Consider the following 19206-nt stretch of genomic DNA (forward strand, 5'->3'; position numbering starts at 1 on the left):
TATTTCTAGTTCTAGATCCCTGAGGAATCGCCACACTGACTTCCACAATGGTTGAACTAGTTTATGGTCCCATCAACAGTGTAAAAGTGTTCCTATTTCTCCACATCCTCTCCAGCACCTGCTGTTTCCTGACTTTTTAATGATTGCCATTCTAACTGGTGTGAGATGGTATCTCATTGTGGTTTTGATTTGCATTTCTCTGATCGCCAGTGATGATGAGCATTTTTTCATGTGTCTTTTGGCTGCATAAATAGAGTAAATCATTTCTAAGGTCCTTTCCAACTTTAAAACTTACTATTTGGTGATCTAAAACAATTAACGTATATCCAAAAGCCAACTGATATGCCCTAAACTTAGCCAAAGAATCAAGTTAACTAATTTTGTGTATGGTATAATATGGTACTAAAATCAAAATTCGATTATAGTCTTATACAAAGATAGCCCCAAATCCATAACATTTAATACAGTTGAAAGATGAGGGAGACTACTATCATGTAAATGAGATTTGTAAACAAAGACATGTACTTTCTCTCATTCACAATTAAACATGCCACGTTTCTCAGTTTTGCCTGACCTGCCATTGTTTACTCTAACAGGTATGCTTTCTCCGGCTTCCTGGCCTTGACATCCCCTTTTACTACTTATGCATTCAATAAAAGAAATATGAATTTCCTTGCTATTGAGCAAAGACCAGATTTCTAGTTTTCTTTCCTGGAGGAATGGAGCAAGAGAAACAGTGTTTAATTGGTAGCATAAGAAAAGCACTGCATCATAGTTTAAATCTATATGAAATACAGTGAACATTAATTTTTAACTAAGAAATTTTTGAAAGAGTATTCAGTTTTTCAAGGAGAAAATTAACCCCTCTTGGCATCTGTTGTCACAGCATGACTTCTTCTAATTTTCCCCCAAAACCTTCAATCATATTCAATTTCAGAAACGGACCTCTGAAGACAATGCATCTATTCTTCTTATTTTGTAAACGAGGAACCTAAAACCCAGAGAGATTAAGAGACTTGTTCAAGGTGACAGGAGTAGACTTGGGACTGGGCTTTTTCACTTTGACTCTGTGCTTAATTTTCTTTCTACACTTTGACATTGGCATCTTTTTAGGGGATTATTTTCTCATTCTTTTGTTAGTGAAACCCCTAAAGCAGCACAATAAACCTTGTACATGCAAAAGGTATAGCAGTAACAACTAGCACTGATTGTTCAACACACGCTAAGAATTCTTTTAAGTGCTTGATATATTTATTAATTTAAAAATGAATCCATGTAACAACTCAATGCAGTTGGTATGACTATAATCTGCATTTACAAATGAGGAACCTCAGGCACAGAGAGCAGAAGTGGCTAGGGGTTTACAAAATAAATGGAAAGTGATCAATTCAGTGGCTAATACTCCTAGATGGGTTAGCTAATGCTCAGCTCCAGCATATTGTGAGTATGTGGGAAACTTCCTTCCATTTTCCGAAAGAAACTGAAAGTCCAGATTTTTATGTGAAATCTCACAAATGGTGGTTTATTTAAATGTAGTACTGATCTCCAAACACACACACACACACAATCTTTGAACCAGCATTAAGACCACAGAAATGACCAAAAATGTTTGAGAATGACACTATTTTTTACTACACAAAATTCTTGCCTAACGAGTATTACTAGAGGACCAATAGTTCTCAAAATTTGGGGAGAGAATACACAAATTAAGAACCCAGTCTGTGCCTCTTCCTCTTTCTTCTACCACAGACAGGAAACAAAAAAAAAAAATCCCTAAAAAAGAAAGCAAAAGCCAGGGTCCTTTGATTTATTACACATTTATATGCCATTTGTGCTATAGCAGAGGAACTATTAGTAAGAGTGAGGCAATGCTTTTCTGCAAAGAATAAGGAATGAACCAGACATTAGATATCATCTTCTGTGAGGTCTTTTTCAGCCTCTCTTGTCAACTCCAAGATGGCTGGTGGCCTCTGTCAGTTTAGTGTACAGATGAGGAAGACAGCGTTGCCAGTTATAGCTTCTCCTTTAAGCTGTTCAACTAAGAGTAGATGAGTTTCTTACAATGATGTCACTCGCACTAAATCTGCCTCCTATTTCCCCCAGAGCTGGATGGGAATGTTCCAGAGTCTAACTTGTTTGCACATACATTGTATTACAGACTACTCTACATACTTTTTTTGGTCTATGACCCACACTTTGACATCAACTGTTTTAGATCAAACACATGCAAGAATGTAAAGAAAAAAGTTCTCTTTAAAAATTAAAACTACCATGTATACATATGTAACTAACCTGCACAATGTGCACATGTACCCTAAAACTTAGAGTATAATAAAAAAAAAAAAAAAAAAAAAAAAAAATTAAAACTACCTTTAAAGTAATTCTTAACAACTCCCAATAAGCCACCTGGGAGAGCATATCAGAAGATAAAAGGCATAGATTTGGAAATTGGCCTTCTATGGACTACATTTGACTCCCCACTCGGGTTTTGTTTGACTCAGAGTGATTACAAAATTCTTAATTGCTAACATTTAAAAATCAGAAAACTTTGAACTAAAAAACAAATTTCCAGGCCGGGCACAGTGGTTCATGCCTGTAATCCCAACACTTTGGGAGGCCAAGGTGGGTGAATCACCTGAGGTCAGGAGTTCAAGACCACCCTGGACAATACGGTGAAACCCTGTCTCTGCTTAAAAAAAAAAAAAAAAAAAAATCAGCTGGTCATGGTGGTGGGCACCTGTAATCCCAGCTACTATGGAGGCTGAGACAGGAGAATCCCTTGAACTTGGGAGGCAGAGGTTGCAGTGAGCTGAGATCTCATCATTGCACTCCAGCCTGGGCGACAAGACCAAAACTCCGTCTCAAAACAAAAAACAAAAAAGAAACAAATTTCCAGAATTTCTTGAAACATCTGAAAATTTTAAAGAGGTGAGCACATATTATGTGTTCTATAGGCAAATTATTTAAATGGTTATACTCTTTTCAATTGAATGGCCTCTATAGGCATTTGAGTTTGTGACTCTTTTGAGGGTAATCAGAAATCTATTTCTACATATAAAGATTGAAGTAGAAAATTGCTTTTTGAGGGGGCCGGGGGCAGTGGCTCACGCTTGTAATCCCAGCACTTTGGGAGGCCAAGTGGGGCAGATCTCGAGGTCAGGAGTTTGAGACCAGCCTGAACAACATGGTGAAACCCCGCCTCTACTAAAATACAAAAATTAGCCAGGCATGGTGGTGCATGCCTGTAATCCCAGCTACTCAGGAGGCTGCAGCAGGAGAGTCACTTGAACCTGGGAGGCAGAGGTTGCGGTGAGCCAAGATCATTCCACTGCACTCCAGCCTGGATGACAGAGCAAGACTCCGTCTCAAAAAAAAAAAAAAGAAAATTGCTTTTTGGGTTTGAAACAATATTGATGACATTTATATTAATTTTACACAGAAAAGTAATACCCAAGTTTAGACCATTTTACTGCTAGAAATGTATCACTAGATTAAAACTAGTGATTTTATCAATAGATGTATCACTAGATTAAAACTATGATTTTCCTTATTTTAAAGATGAGTTAACTGAGGCCCAGAGATGTTACATCACTTACCGAAGGCCATACAGACGCTGCACAAAGACAAGTAAGAAAGGCAAACTGATGAATTTTTAGAATGAGACAGGAAGAAAAGAAAAAGTTGTCAACTACTTAATAGGAGGAATCTTATAGAATAGAGTAGGGGAAATAAGATAGGTAAAAAACAATGGTTGTAAAACATAAAGCTAGAGAGTCACGGAGAACTTTCCATCAAGCCTCCAGCTGTACCTATAAACCACATCCAAACTGTTACATAAAGCCTAGTCCTGCACAACCAAGTATCCCATCAAGTATCAACCAAGTCCTAGTATATGTTCTGTTTATTCCCAAATTACTGCTCATAGGTCTGATCTACTTGGCTCTTGGAATATAGGGTCATGCCAGTTGATAAAAACTTAGTCTCTCTTTTGTGTCTCCATTTTCCTTCATAGACACAATTTCATTTTCCTCTGATTTTACTATCTTCAGCCTTGACAGAGAGGCTCTCTTTGCCAAGCTTTATGACATTAGAGGGTATCAATCATATCCCTTCCACAGATTAACTGAAAAGTTCATAATTTGGCCTCTCATGTAATAGTTTTTTCCTGGTGCCAGGCACTACACTAAGTGCTTTAAATACATTTTCTAGTTCAATCTTCAGAAGAACCCCCTGATGGAGGTGTTATCCCCATTTAACAAATAAAGAAACTGAGGCACAAATGGATTAAATAACTTGCCAAAAGCCACACAACTAGTAAGAGAAAAAGCCTGAATTCACTTGATGTCTGTCTGACTCTAAAGCACATGATGTCAACCAGTACATACACTGCTTTGCAATATCATGATGATAGGGCTTCCAAAGAAAAGCTAGAGACTGTTGGTCTAGACAGCAATCTTTGGGGTTCTCAATCGATATTACATGATTTACACTTCCAACAACAACAGAAAGACATCCCCTCTCTCTGACACCAAAGTTAGGAAGTATTTCTTCTCTTTCAACAGAGACCATAAAACCCAACTAATACGTATTTTTCCAGAGGCATTTTTAGTGATTAATTCTGAAGACCTGATAAAAACAGCAGATTAATTAGAATGTTAAAGCATGTTTGAGGAATATAACCCTCCCGCCAAATTTTGCTAAACAGATCATTTAAGCCCACTGACACATTCATAGTATTCTGGTAGGCTTCCAACATTTCTGCAAAGTAAGGATCATCACATGAGAGCAGTGCCCTAGCATGCTCCATTTTAGGTTTTGTTTTACTCCCAGCATAATAGCTTATGAGTATATTTGAGGTGTTCCCATTCATCCAGCAGTGGTTTCTGGTGTTTTGTTTATGTTTGGGAGTAATTTGGTTAGTTTAGTTCCTTCACAGCCTTCTTTCAAGTGATATTTGTTTATCAGTCACAAATGCCGTCACATTAATCCATTTTGATAAGCTAAATAAACCCCTGCAGTTTGTCAATGATGCAGCCCATATGTAAATGAGTTGTATATTCTTACAGGAGAGACATGCACAATTTCAGTCTAGTCATCCTCGCCTAATGTGTCTGTCAGGTGTGTCATGAGCAACAGATGCTTGTTTGACAAAGGACCTTTTTATTCTGGCTAATTAAGCAGTTGGACACACCCGCCTGTTAACGGTTCTTCTTTGTACAGCCAGCTCTGGCTGAATCATGCGAATCTACAGCTAAATAGGCCACATTTTGAAAGAAGGCTAATTAACCCCTACGAGAAGGAAAAGATATTGCAAAAACCCAGATGCTGAATGGAACAAGATTAGCATTTCTTCAACCTGATGGGTAAAACCTAGGCAAAGCAAATGTGTTTGGAACAAACATGCATTATTGCAAGTTTTAAGGCATTCAAATGTTTTTTGTGGAACTTCCTGAAGATTATTTAATACACTCAAATTCACAGTTGGATTCCTTTTATCACTCACAATGTACATGCCAGATTAAATGGATTAATAGTCTGACCTAATCAATTACTTATCAAACAGAACTATGTTACTGGGCTAGCTTAAAAATAGGTAGTATCCACCTAATTTTTATTGGGGTCTTTCATCCTGAAATAATTTGCTCTCCTAAAGACCAAAGTCTGCAAAGTTTGGTTCCACTACACTTACTGTATTATTTTTAACACTGAGGAATGTAACAGGTTTAAATTCAGTACAGAAAACAAAGACCTGTAATTTAATTTTCAAGCTCAACAGAGAATTTCCTTCCTTTATCCTTAGCATAGAAAGACAAAAGGTGCTAGTTCCAATTCCTACTTGAACCGAATTAACCAAAATTATTATGATAGTTACTTAATGGGTATAGTAAAAATAAACGACATCTAAAATGTGACCATATTCAAGAATAACTTATTTACAAGAGCATTAGAAACCTGATTCAACATAAGATCACAGAAATGCCATTTACAGAAAAAAATAAATGTTTTGCAGGTGAAAATTACTATTTTTAAAACATAGAACCAAAATTATTGTAATTGAAGTTCTGCAGCATTTATATTTATATATATTTATATTTAATACTTTTATTACTAATGCTCTCATTCAGCATCAGCATTCCTAAATAAATGCTGGAAAATAATAGTAGCATATATAGTGTCTATAGCAATTAAGATTTCTATTAAAATTAAGACAACTAAAATGAGCAGTGCTTTTGGGGAGGAAATTACTGACATTTAACATAAATTTAGTACAAAATGTACACAATTCCAGCTATTCTGGAGTAGATAATGAACAATATTAAGATAACTCTAACAACAACAAAAAAACACCTAAGGACATTAGGCATCTTCTAGAAAGACGATGTACAATGATGGGGCATAGTAGAAATTATTAATGCATATATATGTTACACATATATATGTATTTTAAACATATGTTTAGTCACGTACTACATTTAAATATATGTTTAAATAGTCAGGTACTAAATTTAATTTCTTAAAACTCTGACAAAAAATATATTGAGCTGATTGCTTCACCTACGAATATAAAACACTTGGCTTTCTTCCGCCTTCACCCAGTACAAATGAAAAAACTAGTTAAGCTATAAACTGTTGTCAAACACCAACCTTTCTTTATTTAAAACACATCTTTGTGAAAAATTTATTCATTGTAAAACACAGGGCTTTATCAAATCAATAAATCAAGTAAATGAGGAATGTAAAAAAAGTCATGATTTTCTGTATTATAAAAACGCTGCCTCTTTATTTAGGTTTGATGTTGTAATCCTCATGACTGTGTACAATAAATCTTTGTACTAAATTGATCTGTAGAAAAATGAAGGAATGATAATAGTGTAGACTGTTCAGCAGTCATCTTCCTGTGATAACTGATGACAGTGATTAATGCTGAAGATGATTAATCAGCACACTGGTAACATATACAGGTTGGCTGAGTAACTTTTTTCACTTTTCAAAGGTGTTCTCTTAACTAATTCTTTCCTTGACTCAGAATAGATTATGAAAAACTATTACTTAAAGAAAGAAATGAAATTACTGTAATTTTTATCTTAAAGGACTAATTACCAAAAACTAAAATAAAACAATCCCTTAACACTGAAGCCAAACTGCTGGAAAGACATACAGGACAGGAGCAAAGGGAGGCAAAGATTGGCTTAAAAGGCAGCATTATTTACAGAGCCACAAAAGAAACGAGCAGGTAGTACTGCACCAAACAGAGTTTCCTTTAGATTTTACAGGGAGTGACAGCCAGAACAGAAATTCTTAATTTTCTTCACATCAGAAAAGACTCCAATGACAGTGTTCCTCTAGATTATCTTGCCTACACAAGAATTTTTTTCTCTCATCTCTTTTTCTTTTAATAAAAGTGCAGAATAGAGTCTTTTGCAGTTCCTAACTATTCTAATGACAGACTCAAAGAGATCAACACATCTAAAAGAGGAAAATAATACTGTATAATAACATTGCTAATAATAGAAACAATATACCCCATTTTAAATGTACAATATCTTAAAGAACTGAATTCTCATTACTGCCATTCTGGCAAATGTAGTGAACATGGGTGTAGGTGGACCTCAAAAAAACCTCTATATATTCATATACACATAAATTCTGAAAACACTTGCTGTAAAACATAATGCTATTAAATTTTTACATTGATTTTCATTATATGTATATGTATATACACTTGGAATAAAGACTTGGCCAAAGGAGAAAAATGTAAACAGATTAAAGACTATAGCCAATACTGTAAATTCGGATACTTAACAGAAAAATTATTTCTCTGTAAAAATCAGTAAAATTTCAAATAAGTCATCTATACTGAATTACAAACAGTTCCACTGGTACTTATCTATGGGAACTGGTGATGCACTCCATGGATGGCTGTCCTTCCAATTTGGTATGAAGCATTTTCTTGCCTCCAGAAACAATAATTCCTTTAAAATCTCCTTACTATATAGCTATATTATCTAAAGTTGGTTATCCTAGGCTATCTCATAAATCTTTAGTTAATATCCTTAACTAGGTTTATTATAATGCTCAAAATCAACTGTAAATTCCTTACAAAAATATAGTTGTCATTATATAATATTTTAGATAAGTGTGAAATTTCATGTAATAAGTTTCATTGTCATCTCTCTCAAACTTTGGTGGTCTTCGATGGAGACTAAAATGGGGAAAAAAACTCTTCTTTTTCCTTGATAATACATTAAGTGTAACATCCCAATCACTTCTTTCACCACCAAACTTGTTCAGAAGAGTTATCTACAGTCACTGTCTTCATTTCTGCCCATTCTACTCAACTGCTGACACTTTGTTATTTAGTTTCTGCCACATCCCTCCAAGAGAAGATCAACTTTTCCAAAGTCACTAAGGAACAATCTTTTAATCTGCAAATTCTATGACCTTTTCTTATTTTTCACACTCATTGTACTATCAAATTACACTTGAAATTAATGACAATCTCTTTTATCAAAAAGCTTCCTCCTTGCCTTCCAAGACATTCATTTTTTCCGGTTTTCTTCCTACCTGTCTGGCCAATCTTTCTGTTTGCCTCAGAAGTTTAATTGCGTCCCTTTGAACAGAAAAAAAAACCAAAACAAACAAACAAACAAAAAAGAGTTGAGCTGGGGTGTTTTTCTGCTCTCTCAACAACACTCTGTTTTTAAAACTCTGTTTTAAAGAGTTTAGCCACTAATAACTATTATCCATATGTGAATAATTCCCAAATCTGTAACTCTAGTCAATAATCCTTCCTTCTATTGAGCTACAGTTCTAGATTTTTAACTACCCATTGAATCTCTTTAAATAGACTATCATCATTACAAGTCCACCTGTTCACATGAAATCATCAAAATTCAATTTAGATTTTCATCTTTTCTATTAAACTTTCTGCCAATAACTGCTGTTACATGCCTTGGGGAATACACAGTCTGCCCTCAATGAATTCAAATTCTACTGACGGCATAAGATAAAAGTGGTAATCTTGGGATCCAGTCATCTTGGCATCCTTTTTTCTCAAAGAAGCTAAAAGTAAGAGCCAGATTTCTTTTTTTCTCTCATCTTCCAAATTTAATAAATTACTGAGTCTGCTTCCTAATTATATCTCAAAAATACACCCACATATCTATATCTCGCCACACAGATCCCTAGAGTTCAGGCCACTACCTATAATAGGTTCTCAGTGCCCTCAGGATAAACTGCAAACCCTTACTTAACAAGGCTTAGGAGGCTCTTTAGAATATAGCTCCTGCCTACTGTCTCCCCAAGTTTATATACAATCCAGCCTTATGGAACTACCCACAGTTCCCCAAACCTGGGGCATTTGGTTTTTTGTCTTGTTTTGTTTTTTTTTGAGACAAGGTCTCACTCTGTTGCCCAGGCTGCAGTGCAGTGGCACAAACTTGGCTCACTCTGCAGCCTCAACCTCCCAGTCCCTGGTGATCCTCCCATCTCAGCCTCCTTAGTAGCTGGGACCATGTGCACATGCCACCACGCCTGACAGCTAATTTTTTGGATTTTTTTTGTAGAGACAGGGTTTCACCATGTTGCCCACCCTAGTCTCAAAGTCCTGGACTCAAGTGATCCACCTGCCTCAGCCTCCCAAAATCCTGGGATTACAGACATGAGCCACTGACTCGGCCAACCCTGGGGACATTTGAACAGGCAGTTTCTTCTGCTTGAAACAATTTTTCCTTCTTACCTCCTCTAATCTTCACTTTGTCTTTCAGGTCTCAGGAGAAATCCTACTTTCCCGTGATAGCTTCCCAAACAACCACTGCTTTTCCATCTTGCTCTTAACAAGTCCGAATCTAGTGTCCTCCTGGTATTCCTATAGCATACTATCTTTACTCAGTACACAGCAATTATCACATCTATAGTGTAACTGTCTCTCCAACAAGACTATAAACTCCATGAATGCATGGACTATCCTTATCTTTTTCACTTACATATGTAGCCACAGTGCCCAATATATACACAGAATCTTTGATTTGTTGAAAGAACAATCTCCAAAGAAGATGAGTTTAAGACCCTATTGAAACATTACTATTAGAATATGCTGCACCAGAGGCATATTCTACACAATTTTTTAAAATTCTACATAAATATAATTGTATATTACAGACATTTTTAATCAAATTATTGTGTTTTTTCTTAATTTTCTAATGTGACTTCATGTTCAATTTCTATTACAATGGAATTTTATAACAACTCCCATATTCAAAGAATTAAAAGACTCAAAAGATTTTGTGTATAGTTTTTTAAAATAAAGAAACAAGATAAGGATTAAGTAAACTCAAATGAACGAATCAAGTCTTCAGCTATTGCTCTGAACCTTCTGACATATCATTTACTGTGTTTTAATAAGTACATCTGATTCGCTGAATTGTGGATTCAGATCCAATGCTCTAATCATGTCATCTTAGAATAAGTGGCCTGGTATGCTTCCTTTGTTTTTATGAGACAGAAGCACTCAGATATCGTTAATTTTCATAGCTGAAATGCTAAGAATAAGTAATTAGCCTAATAGTAATTGTTCTGACTTCATCGTTAATTAACCACTTGAAATTTATTTGAGCTTGGTAACATTCAACTGATATTCTTCTATGTTCTCTTAATAATCATTGAAACTTTCTACCAAAAAAAGGTATTCTAAGAAGCCTCTAGTTACTAATTAGTTAACACATTTATGTAAGGACTTCACATACATTATTTCATCTGTACAGAAATCCTGATGTAGGTACTATTATTATCCCATTTATTATGGATGAGAAAACTGAGGCATAACTTAAATAATTAAATATTTAATTATTTAATAATTGATAGAACTTAAATAATTCCATCAGCACCAAGGTCATATAACTTCATATAACTAGAAATAGGCAGAGTGAGAACTTGAATATGCTATATCACCTACTAAGTCAAGGAGCAACATGTTGTTTCATTGTTTTTTTAACCTAGCCATATGCAGTATTAGGCTAATAATATGACAACAATTTAGATGTTTAACACACCAACTATTATGTAGTCCTGTCTAGAGTCTTTTCTGTTTTCATTCTTCTATATTATGGGAATTAGATATGCTATAATTTTTTAATCCAGTTAATAGTTTTCCGTGATAGATCATCCTCTAAAAAATATCTTAATTTCATTTCCAGCAATGCAGAGTACCTGACAAGCTGACTGTCTATTCTGTAGATCTCAGCTAAGACTAATAAAAATGATTGAATCATGGAATATTCAGAGTTTCTACACTACCTCTGCTGAAGCATCAATACAGATAGGCTTGTTGGAATTTGAATTAGGGCTCAGAAAATGTTAAAAATCAATGTGCCACAGTGATTTCAGAATCTTTTCTTTCTGAAATCTCAGAGTTGAGCTCTCAGGTACACACCATAACGCCCACTTCTAAAGGAGTAGGAATGACTGCCTGCAGCTTCTCAAGACGCCAAAAGAAGGGGCAATCTCAATTCGTTCATTCACCAATGAGCTTGTTTCAGTGAGCCTCTGGCACAGGTGCCAGGGGTTGTTGCTCCCTGACCTTTACATTTGATCACAAATTGCATTCAGCAATGGCAAGAAAATGGTATTTAACTCTCCTTCCTAATGGCACTGCAATCAAGGGCAATAACTGAGAAGTAGAGCTTTAAGGAAGGCTGTATAGGCCAAAGACACTGTTCAGGGTAATAAAGCCCCATAGCAATCCCATAGGTAACCCTGCAGTACAACCAACATCTCTATTCCTGCTTGAGCACAGGGCCATCCTTCCTTGGTGCATGCCAAGTAATTCAGCATATACCTTGATCTTTTCATTTTGTTGTTTCAGTCAAATGCTTATATAGAACATACTTTGTTACAAGGATCGGTCAAGCAGAGGAAAGCAAAAAGAAATTTTTCAAGTCTCACCCAGGCCTTTTTATTGTACTACTTCACTATTTCAAAAAGTCTGTGCTGTAAGAGTTATCTCTGTCTCTGTCTCTCTCTCTCTCTCTCTCACACACACACACACACACACACGCACGCACACATGGCCACACACACAGACAACAGGTCTTTGGTATCGAAACTTAAGTTGAACACACAGTACATCACACATGCACACGCAAATAAACACAGAGGGAGAAGACCTTCCAAATGGCTCCAACTTGGCTTATAGGGTGTGACCGAGGAAAAAGTGTTCTAACTCCAAATACAGTAGTAGTCTTCCACTACTGCCTCTTTTTCCCCGTCCCTGGCAGAGATGGTGATCGGGTACGATAAAACTAGGTCTACTTTGCCAAAAATAAACTTATTTTGCCAAATGGCCAATTTGACAAATTACCCATTCAGTCAAAACTTGTTTCTTTTAACCATTTATATTGTTAACAGCTACTTGTACTGAATAAAATAGTTTCAAAGAATCTTTTAAGAATTCTCCGATATTTAAGTTGATGGTTCAAGCTTTTAATTTACGTGAAAGTAAATACTGTTGTAATCCAGCACTGTGGCCTACCCATGTAATATTCTGTCATTTTGCTATCTTCTAGGCCAACAACTTTTGGGGATCAGAATCTATTTACTTTAAATCAAAGTGTTATAAATGTTTTGAATGCCAAAAAGTGTATAAATGATGGTATAGAAGATTTCTTTCTTTTAACACATTTTCTATCCACTTAAGTACATTGTATACTTCCCTTAATTCACACACTTGTTAACCAATTGAATTGGATGAACATGTTGCTTCCGTTTTAAGTAACTAAAAAGCATTCAGTATTTGAAATATCAATGATAAAATTGGCATTCAGCTGCGTTAGACTGTTAAATAATTCTACTGCGAAATATCAGGGTTGAAATTGCAATGGAAAAATTAAAATCAAATTAAAACTTAATAATTACTTCCCACTAAAAATTTCAAAAACTTTTGCAGCTATTCTATGCAGCATCATTTGTGATAAACTTTGTATGTAGTTAATACAAACACAGTTCAGGCAGTTGACAATTTAGAAAACTGGTCATTAGACAAAATGATAAATCAGAGTATTTGGTAAATTTAACAAAATGGCCATTCAGCAAATTTATGTTTCAGCAAACTGATTTTAAAAAAACTATCTATTCAGTGAATTGATCACCCAGTAAATTTTCTTTTGGTGAAGGAGTAATCGGTTTTCAGATAATTGGCCTGCTTCCCAAAATCACAGCCCTTTAAAGCTTAAAAGTATTCAGATCATCCAGTGCAGGCTCCCATTTCACAGAGAAACTGAGAAAAATCAACCAAATGGATCCATTAGTATAAGATCTAGTATTAGAACTCAAGACTCCCAATTCCCAGTCAAAAGCTCTTTCTAATAGGCTATGGTTAATAGGAGAAGAAAGGAGGAAGGCACTCAGAGGTAGCAAGGCCTGACAGACGCGCAAAGTGCTTACTACACAAGGAAAGAAATACTCATATAACATGGAGAATGCAATCTTAAAATAAGAGCTTCTCTTAGACGTTTCCAAGTCTCTTTCTCACATGAGTAAGGCTCTGTTTCAGGGTGTTTAACACGATTTCAAGTGAGATAAACTGTGTGTGTGTGTGTGTGTGTGTGTGTGTGTGTGTGTGTGTGTGTGTGGCGCTATCAACTAAAATGGTTCACAGCACTTTATATTCTATAGGAATTCTGAACCATCTTGCCAACTTGTTTTTCTCTATCTACCAAAATACTTTACATAGAGTATCTTGGTGTTCCATGCTCAGTATTTTATTATTATACAGAGTTTCTGAGTGTCTCAGGCTCAGAATTTTATTATTACATCATCTCTGGATGCCACTTATAATATACAAACTGACTCTATTTATACTGAAATAAATAAACCAAAAAGACTAATTTCTAGTTTTCCTGGAAGAGGGAAAAAGCAAAATTCAACACAACAGTAAATGCAACCAAAATAAACAGGGAACAAATTCTGAATTTTCACTTGCAGCAAATAAGTGTAATTTTGGGGTGTGAGATGGAAACCTTTTCAATGTAATGGTTTGTGTAACAGCTTTTACAAGGTGCACTTTTCACTGTCAAACAGCATGAAATGCTCGTAAGGGTAATCAGTTTTAGATGGCAGGTTTACAAGCTTTCCACAACATGTACTATTTATCTACGCTAAAATGTTTTCCAATTACCTCTTTACATATTATGTTCATGCATTCTTTTAAAAAGATTTAAAAACTGCTTTGTACAAATGTAACTCTGAAACCAACCACGCCGCTTGATTTCTTTAATCATCTGATGCATACTATTGGTTTTTACTAGCTCATAAGTTACCCATGCCTAATTTACATAAAAGCAGTATTTCTGTAATATATTAAAGCAAGGTAGAAGCAAACACCTCCCAGTATAACTGACTCAAAAATGGTATTTTCTATGTAATCTTGCTTATGAAGGAAATGATATTCTTGTTGTACCATAAGAGTTAGCTAATATTTACATATTATATTCAAAATTACACACAAATATGAGCTGATTACTTCTCATGATCCATGGAGCCACTTTTCTCACAAACCAAATTTATAAGGACGGTGTTTTCTAAATAAAACGGAAAGGTTATTTGCATATGAAAATTATATTCCCTTTCCTTATAAGGTTTACTCAACAATGAATACATAAATTCTTTTTCAATTAAGACAGCAATGGAATTTTTTTAAATGTAGGAGAGCAACCCAGTCCATCTTCCTCGCTCTGTGTCTTTCTTTCCCCCTTTCTCCCTTGCTCCTTTCTCTCCTCTTTTTTATTTATTTATTTATTTTTTGAGACAGGGTCTCATTCTGTTGCCAAGGCTGAAGTGCAGTGGCATGATCTCGGCTCACTGCAACCTCCACCTCCCAGGTTCAAGGAATTCTCCCAAGTAGCTGGGATTACAGGCACCCGCCACCAGACTGGCTAATTTTTGTATTTTTAGTAGAGACAGGGTTTCAGCCCGGGAAGCCTCCGCCTCCTGGGTTCAAGTGATCCTCCCACCCCAGCCTCCCGAGTAGCTGGGATTATAGGTGTGTGACACCACATCCAGCTAATTTTTGTGTGTGTGTGTTTTTTTTTTTTAGTAGAGAGGGGATTTCACCATGTTGGCCAGGCTGGTCTAGAACTCTGGACCTAAAGTGATCCTCCTGCCTCGGCCTCCCAAAGTGCTGGGATTACAGGTGTGAGCCACTGCGCAGGCCTCTTGTTCCCTTCTCTACCTTTCCTCCACCTCCAATTATACGGACCTAGTCAGCCCCATAGTCAAACACTGGCTACACAACAGCCCCTCCAAAATACTCTACATATATAAGCTGAGTCAGGAGTGCAGCTTAATTGTATCATTTTCTTCTTTGAAATTATTTTCACACATCTGGACAACTACTCGTAACATTATCCATAGGATCTTATATTCACACCATTTTAAACATTATGGGCATCAAAAATAACAGCTAAGCTATTTTCAGTACTTAGACGTAAGCCACATGGCCAAAATATTCAGTGTCTCAAAACAAAGCTTACTGTGAAATCAGATCAGTATCTGATTTGAGTATTCCTGGCTTGTACTTTCCAAAGTACAGTAGAACTACTTCATAATAAGACCACTAAAGGTCAACACTAATCATGTTGTATTACTTTACTTTATCTATGTTCAGAGAAATGTAAGCTCACAGACTCTAAGGTTGGACAGGCCATCAAGGTGACCTTGAGTCATGGTTAGTGCCATGATCTGTTTGAATATCCATAATGAAGCTCTACCACACCATTTTATAAGGAATGTTATGAATTATAGAATTGAGCTCTTAAGTTGACTCAAAGATAATGCTATTTTCGTTTCAAGTAAATAAATAGTAATTATCTATAGAGAAGTAAAAGAAAGGCTTCAAACCATTTAATAAAGATATATTAATTCATTTAGTTATTTTTTTCTTCTTGAGAGGGCTCTAAACAAAAATATCATCTTCCTAAGGTAAATATGTTAGTAAAAGTTTATAAAAGAAAGGTGCAAAGGGTGAAGCTGGCATTTCCTGAAGCTTAGGGTAGTTTCAGGAGATGCAACATGGTTGCAGTAAAAGCTATCACCTGGCTTAAAATAATAGGATTCTGTCCACTTTTTAAGCATACCAATTCTGTTACAGTTATTCTTAGAAAGAAAGGGAAACTTATAACTAGCTTTGAATGACCAGAAAAAAACTGCAAATTTCTTACTTTTAAAAATTATTGATGCTGGCAATTCTACTGGTAAATTCATGTTTCTTCCAAATTGAATATTAATAAAGCTACCACCAATGTTGAAAACCTGTTTATTATTTAATGTGAGCTGAATAAAAATCAATAACTATAGAGAACAGGGTTACTTCAGAAAATAAGATTCTAATATGTTTTATATTGAGTCTAAAAATCACACTTCTTTAATTGGTTAAAGCACAGCCTTTAATATAGAAAATTTTCTCAATTTAACAGGAAAAACCAAAAAACCTCTCTCCTTGAGAAATAAACAGAAATTTTTACAAAATTGTCATTTTATAGCAAGATCGATTTTTTTTTTTCAGTTACAACCTATTCTCCTAAGGATACTAGTCCCAGCTTTTAATCCAAATTTCCCAAATAGAAACATCAGCATCTTCCTAAGAAAATATTAAAATACTTGTTAAAGCATACTGTAATGTATACCAAGTAGAACTCTTTCAGTGCATTCAATTTACTTGATAAATTGTTTTATGAAATACTATAAGACTTAATAAACAATTCATAATTTAGGTAATTTATGTTCCTTCTCAAGGATATACAATCAAACTATTTTCATATGGGAGTTTAATATTTTAGGAACATCATACTATAGCTTATGATTTGTTTAAGTTGCTAAGAAGTGAACACTTTTATTTTATTTTTAAATGGCCCACCTTTAGTATTTAGATTATGCTCTTTTCATGTTTCAGTTTAACTTAACAAGACAATACAAAAACCTCAATAAAGAAAAATATCTAAAACTACTGCAGATCCTAGACACAGTTTCTTTAAAGAATTCATCCCTGTTTCTTTCTCCTTGCTCTGAAGACAAGGAACAAATGCTTCCTGAATGTGAAATTCACCCTAACAGTTCATTGCTTTAACACCTTTTGAGTAGAGACAGTTGGAGCAAATATAAGCTAAGTTCTGCAGTGTAGCAGTTCTCTTGACAACTCTTAGTAAGGCTGCAAGTGAAAAACCCTTTATGCTTTTTTGAATAATATCCCAGTGTGGGAGGATGAATACTAAGTAATAAATCAGGAAAAGAAAAAAATTATACTCTCCACCTAGATAACATGAAGAATGGTAAGGCTAGTGTTTGGTACTTAGAAATTCTCCCAATAAATCAAGATTGTCTTCTTTCATCTTTACCTCCTCTGTTACATCCAATTAAAAATTTTAAAAGCTGCTATTTATTGAACACCTACCACATATCTGCTAATAAACTTAATACTTTAATTTTCACAACAACCTTGTGTGAAAATTATGTGTGTGTTGGTTGAGTACTTTATTGAAATGGGACACTGAGTTCCAGAAAGATCAAATACTTTTCCTAAGAGCTCAACATTGGCAAAAGACAAAACTAGGACACACATGGAACTACATCTGACTGTAAAGGCTATGCTCCTGCCATATTCCAGTCTGCTTACAATACTTTTAATGTTTTCTGTATTTCCAAGTTAAAAGAAACAAAATTTGTGTTCCATATTTGAAATATTCAACAGTTATGAGAATGTCAATCTTAAGAGTAAAGTCATTATCTTGCAAAATCAGTGAGAAATTAAAAACACAATAGAGTTAGCTTTCATTATTCATACTAGTTGAAAGATCCAAAGACATATTTGCTGTCCTACCAAAAGGGCACACTGCAGTAAATACCACTAACATATATATATGTGTATATACATATATAAGAGTATATATATATGTGTGTGTGTGTATATATATGAGTGTGTATATATATATGCTAGTGGTATCTACTGCAATGTGGTATATATATATATGCTAGTAGTATCTACTGCAATATACGAGTGTATATATATATGAGTATATATATGTATATATGAGTATATATGTATATATGAGTATATATGTATATATGAGTATATATGAGTATATATGTATATATGAGTATATATGTATATATGAGTATATATGAGTATATATGTATATATGAGTATATATGTATATATGAGTATATATGAGTATATATGTATATATGAGTATATATGTATATATGAGTATATATAAGTATATATGAGTATATATGTATATATATGAGTATATATAAGTATATATATGAGTATATATACACACATATATACTCATATGTGTGTATATATATACACATATATGTGTGTGTATATATTCATATATACACTTATATATACTCATATATATACTTATATATACTCATATATATACTTATATATTTACTTTTATATATATACTTATATATATACTCATATATAAGTATATATATATTCTTATATATATACTCATATATAAGTATATATATATACTTATATATATACTCTTATCTATATACTATATATATTCTTATATATATATACTTATATATATATACACATACTCATATATATATATATATACATACTCATATATATATATATAAGAGTTGGGATCTTGCTCTGTTGCCCAGGCTAGGGTGCAGTGGTGCAATCATGATTCACTGCAGCCTCTAACTCTTGGGCTCAAGCAATCCTCTTGCCTCAGTCTCCCAAAGTGCAGAGATTAGAGGCGTGAGCCACCCTGGCTAGCCAACCAGTACCATTTTCCACCACACCTGGCCAATGATTAGCATTTTTAATATACACAATAATAGTTCCAGATCTATTTAAGAATAAAACTAACAAGACCCACATCCACTATAAATTCAATAAAGTATTCCATTACTGAAGGCAGGTTGCTGCTGTTAGATGCTGGGAAAGATCCCAAGAAGAGGAAAGCATTAACTTCCTTGGCTATCTCTTCTTTCTTCTCTCCTCAACAAGGACTAATCCCCTAAGATACACCCTTTGCCTTCTCTGTTCTTCTCTGTACACAGTCTCCCTGAAATATTTTGCAACTTCAACTTTCACTTGTATATCATGACTTTCTAGTCTCTTGCTCCAAATCCTTCTCATTTACCTAAATTCTAATTCTATAATATGAACTGCCTCTTTGCAAC

The 19206-nt window shown here is 34.7% G+C and overlaps 1 protein-coding gene across 30 annotated transcripts in view, besides 1 other annotated feature; it reads right to left on the reverse strand.

Annotated features, from left to right (window-relative positions):
* RFX3 (regulatory factor X3) overlaps positions 1-19206 on the reverse strand; it is a 307705-nt gene that overhangs the window by 178285 nt on the left and 110214 nt on the right. The gene's annotated exons all lie outside the window — the stretch shown is intronic.
* Positions 4450-5981: an enhancer, noted in NCBI's record as "VISTA enhancer hs1350". NCBI's record gives its function as "enhancer in: neural tube[7/8] | hindbrain (rhombencephalon)[7/8] | forebrain[6/8]" and the evidence as "EXISTENCE:transgenic organism evidence [ECO:0001131][PMID:17130149]".

This window comes from Homo sapiens, chromosome 9, assembly GCF_000001405.40.
Source record: "Homo sapiens chromosome 9, GRCh38.p14 Primary Assembly".
In the NCBI taxonomy this organism is placed as follows: Eukaryota; Metazoa; Chordata; class Mammalia; order Primates; family Hominidae; genus Homo; species Homo sapiens.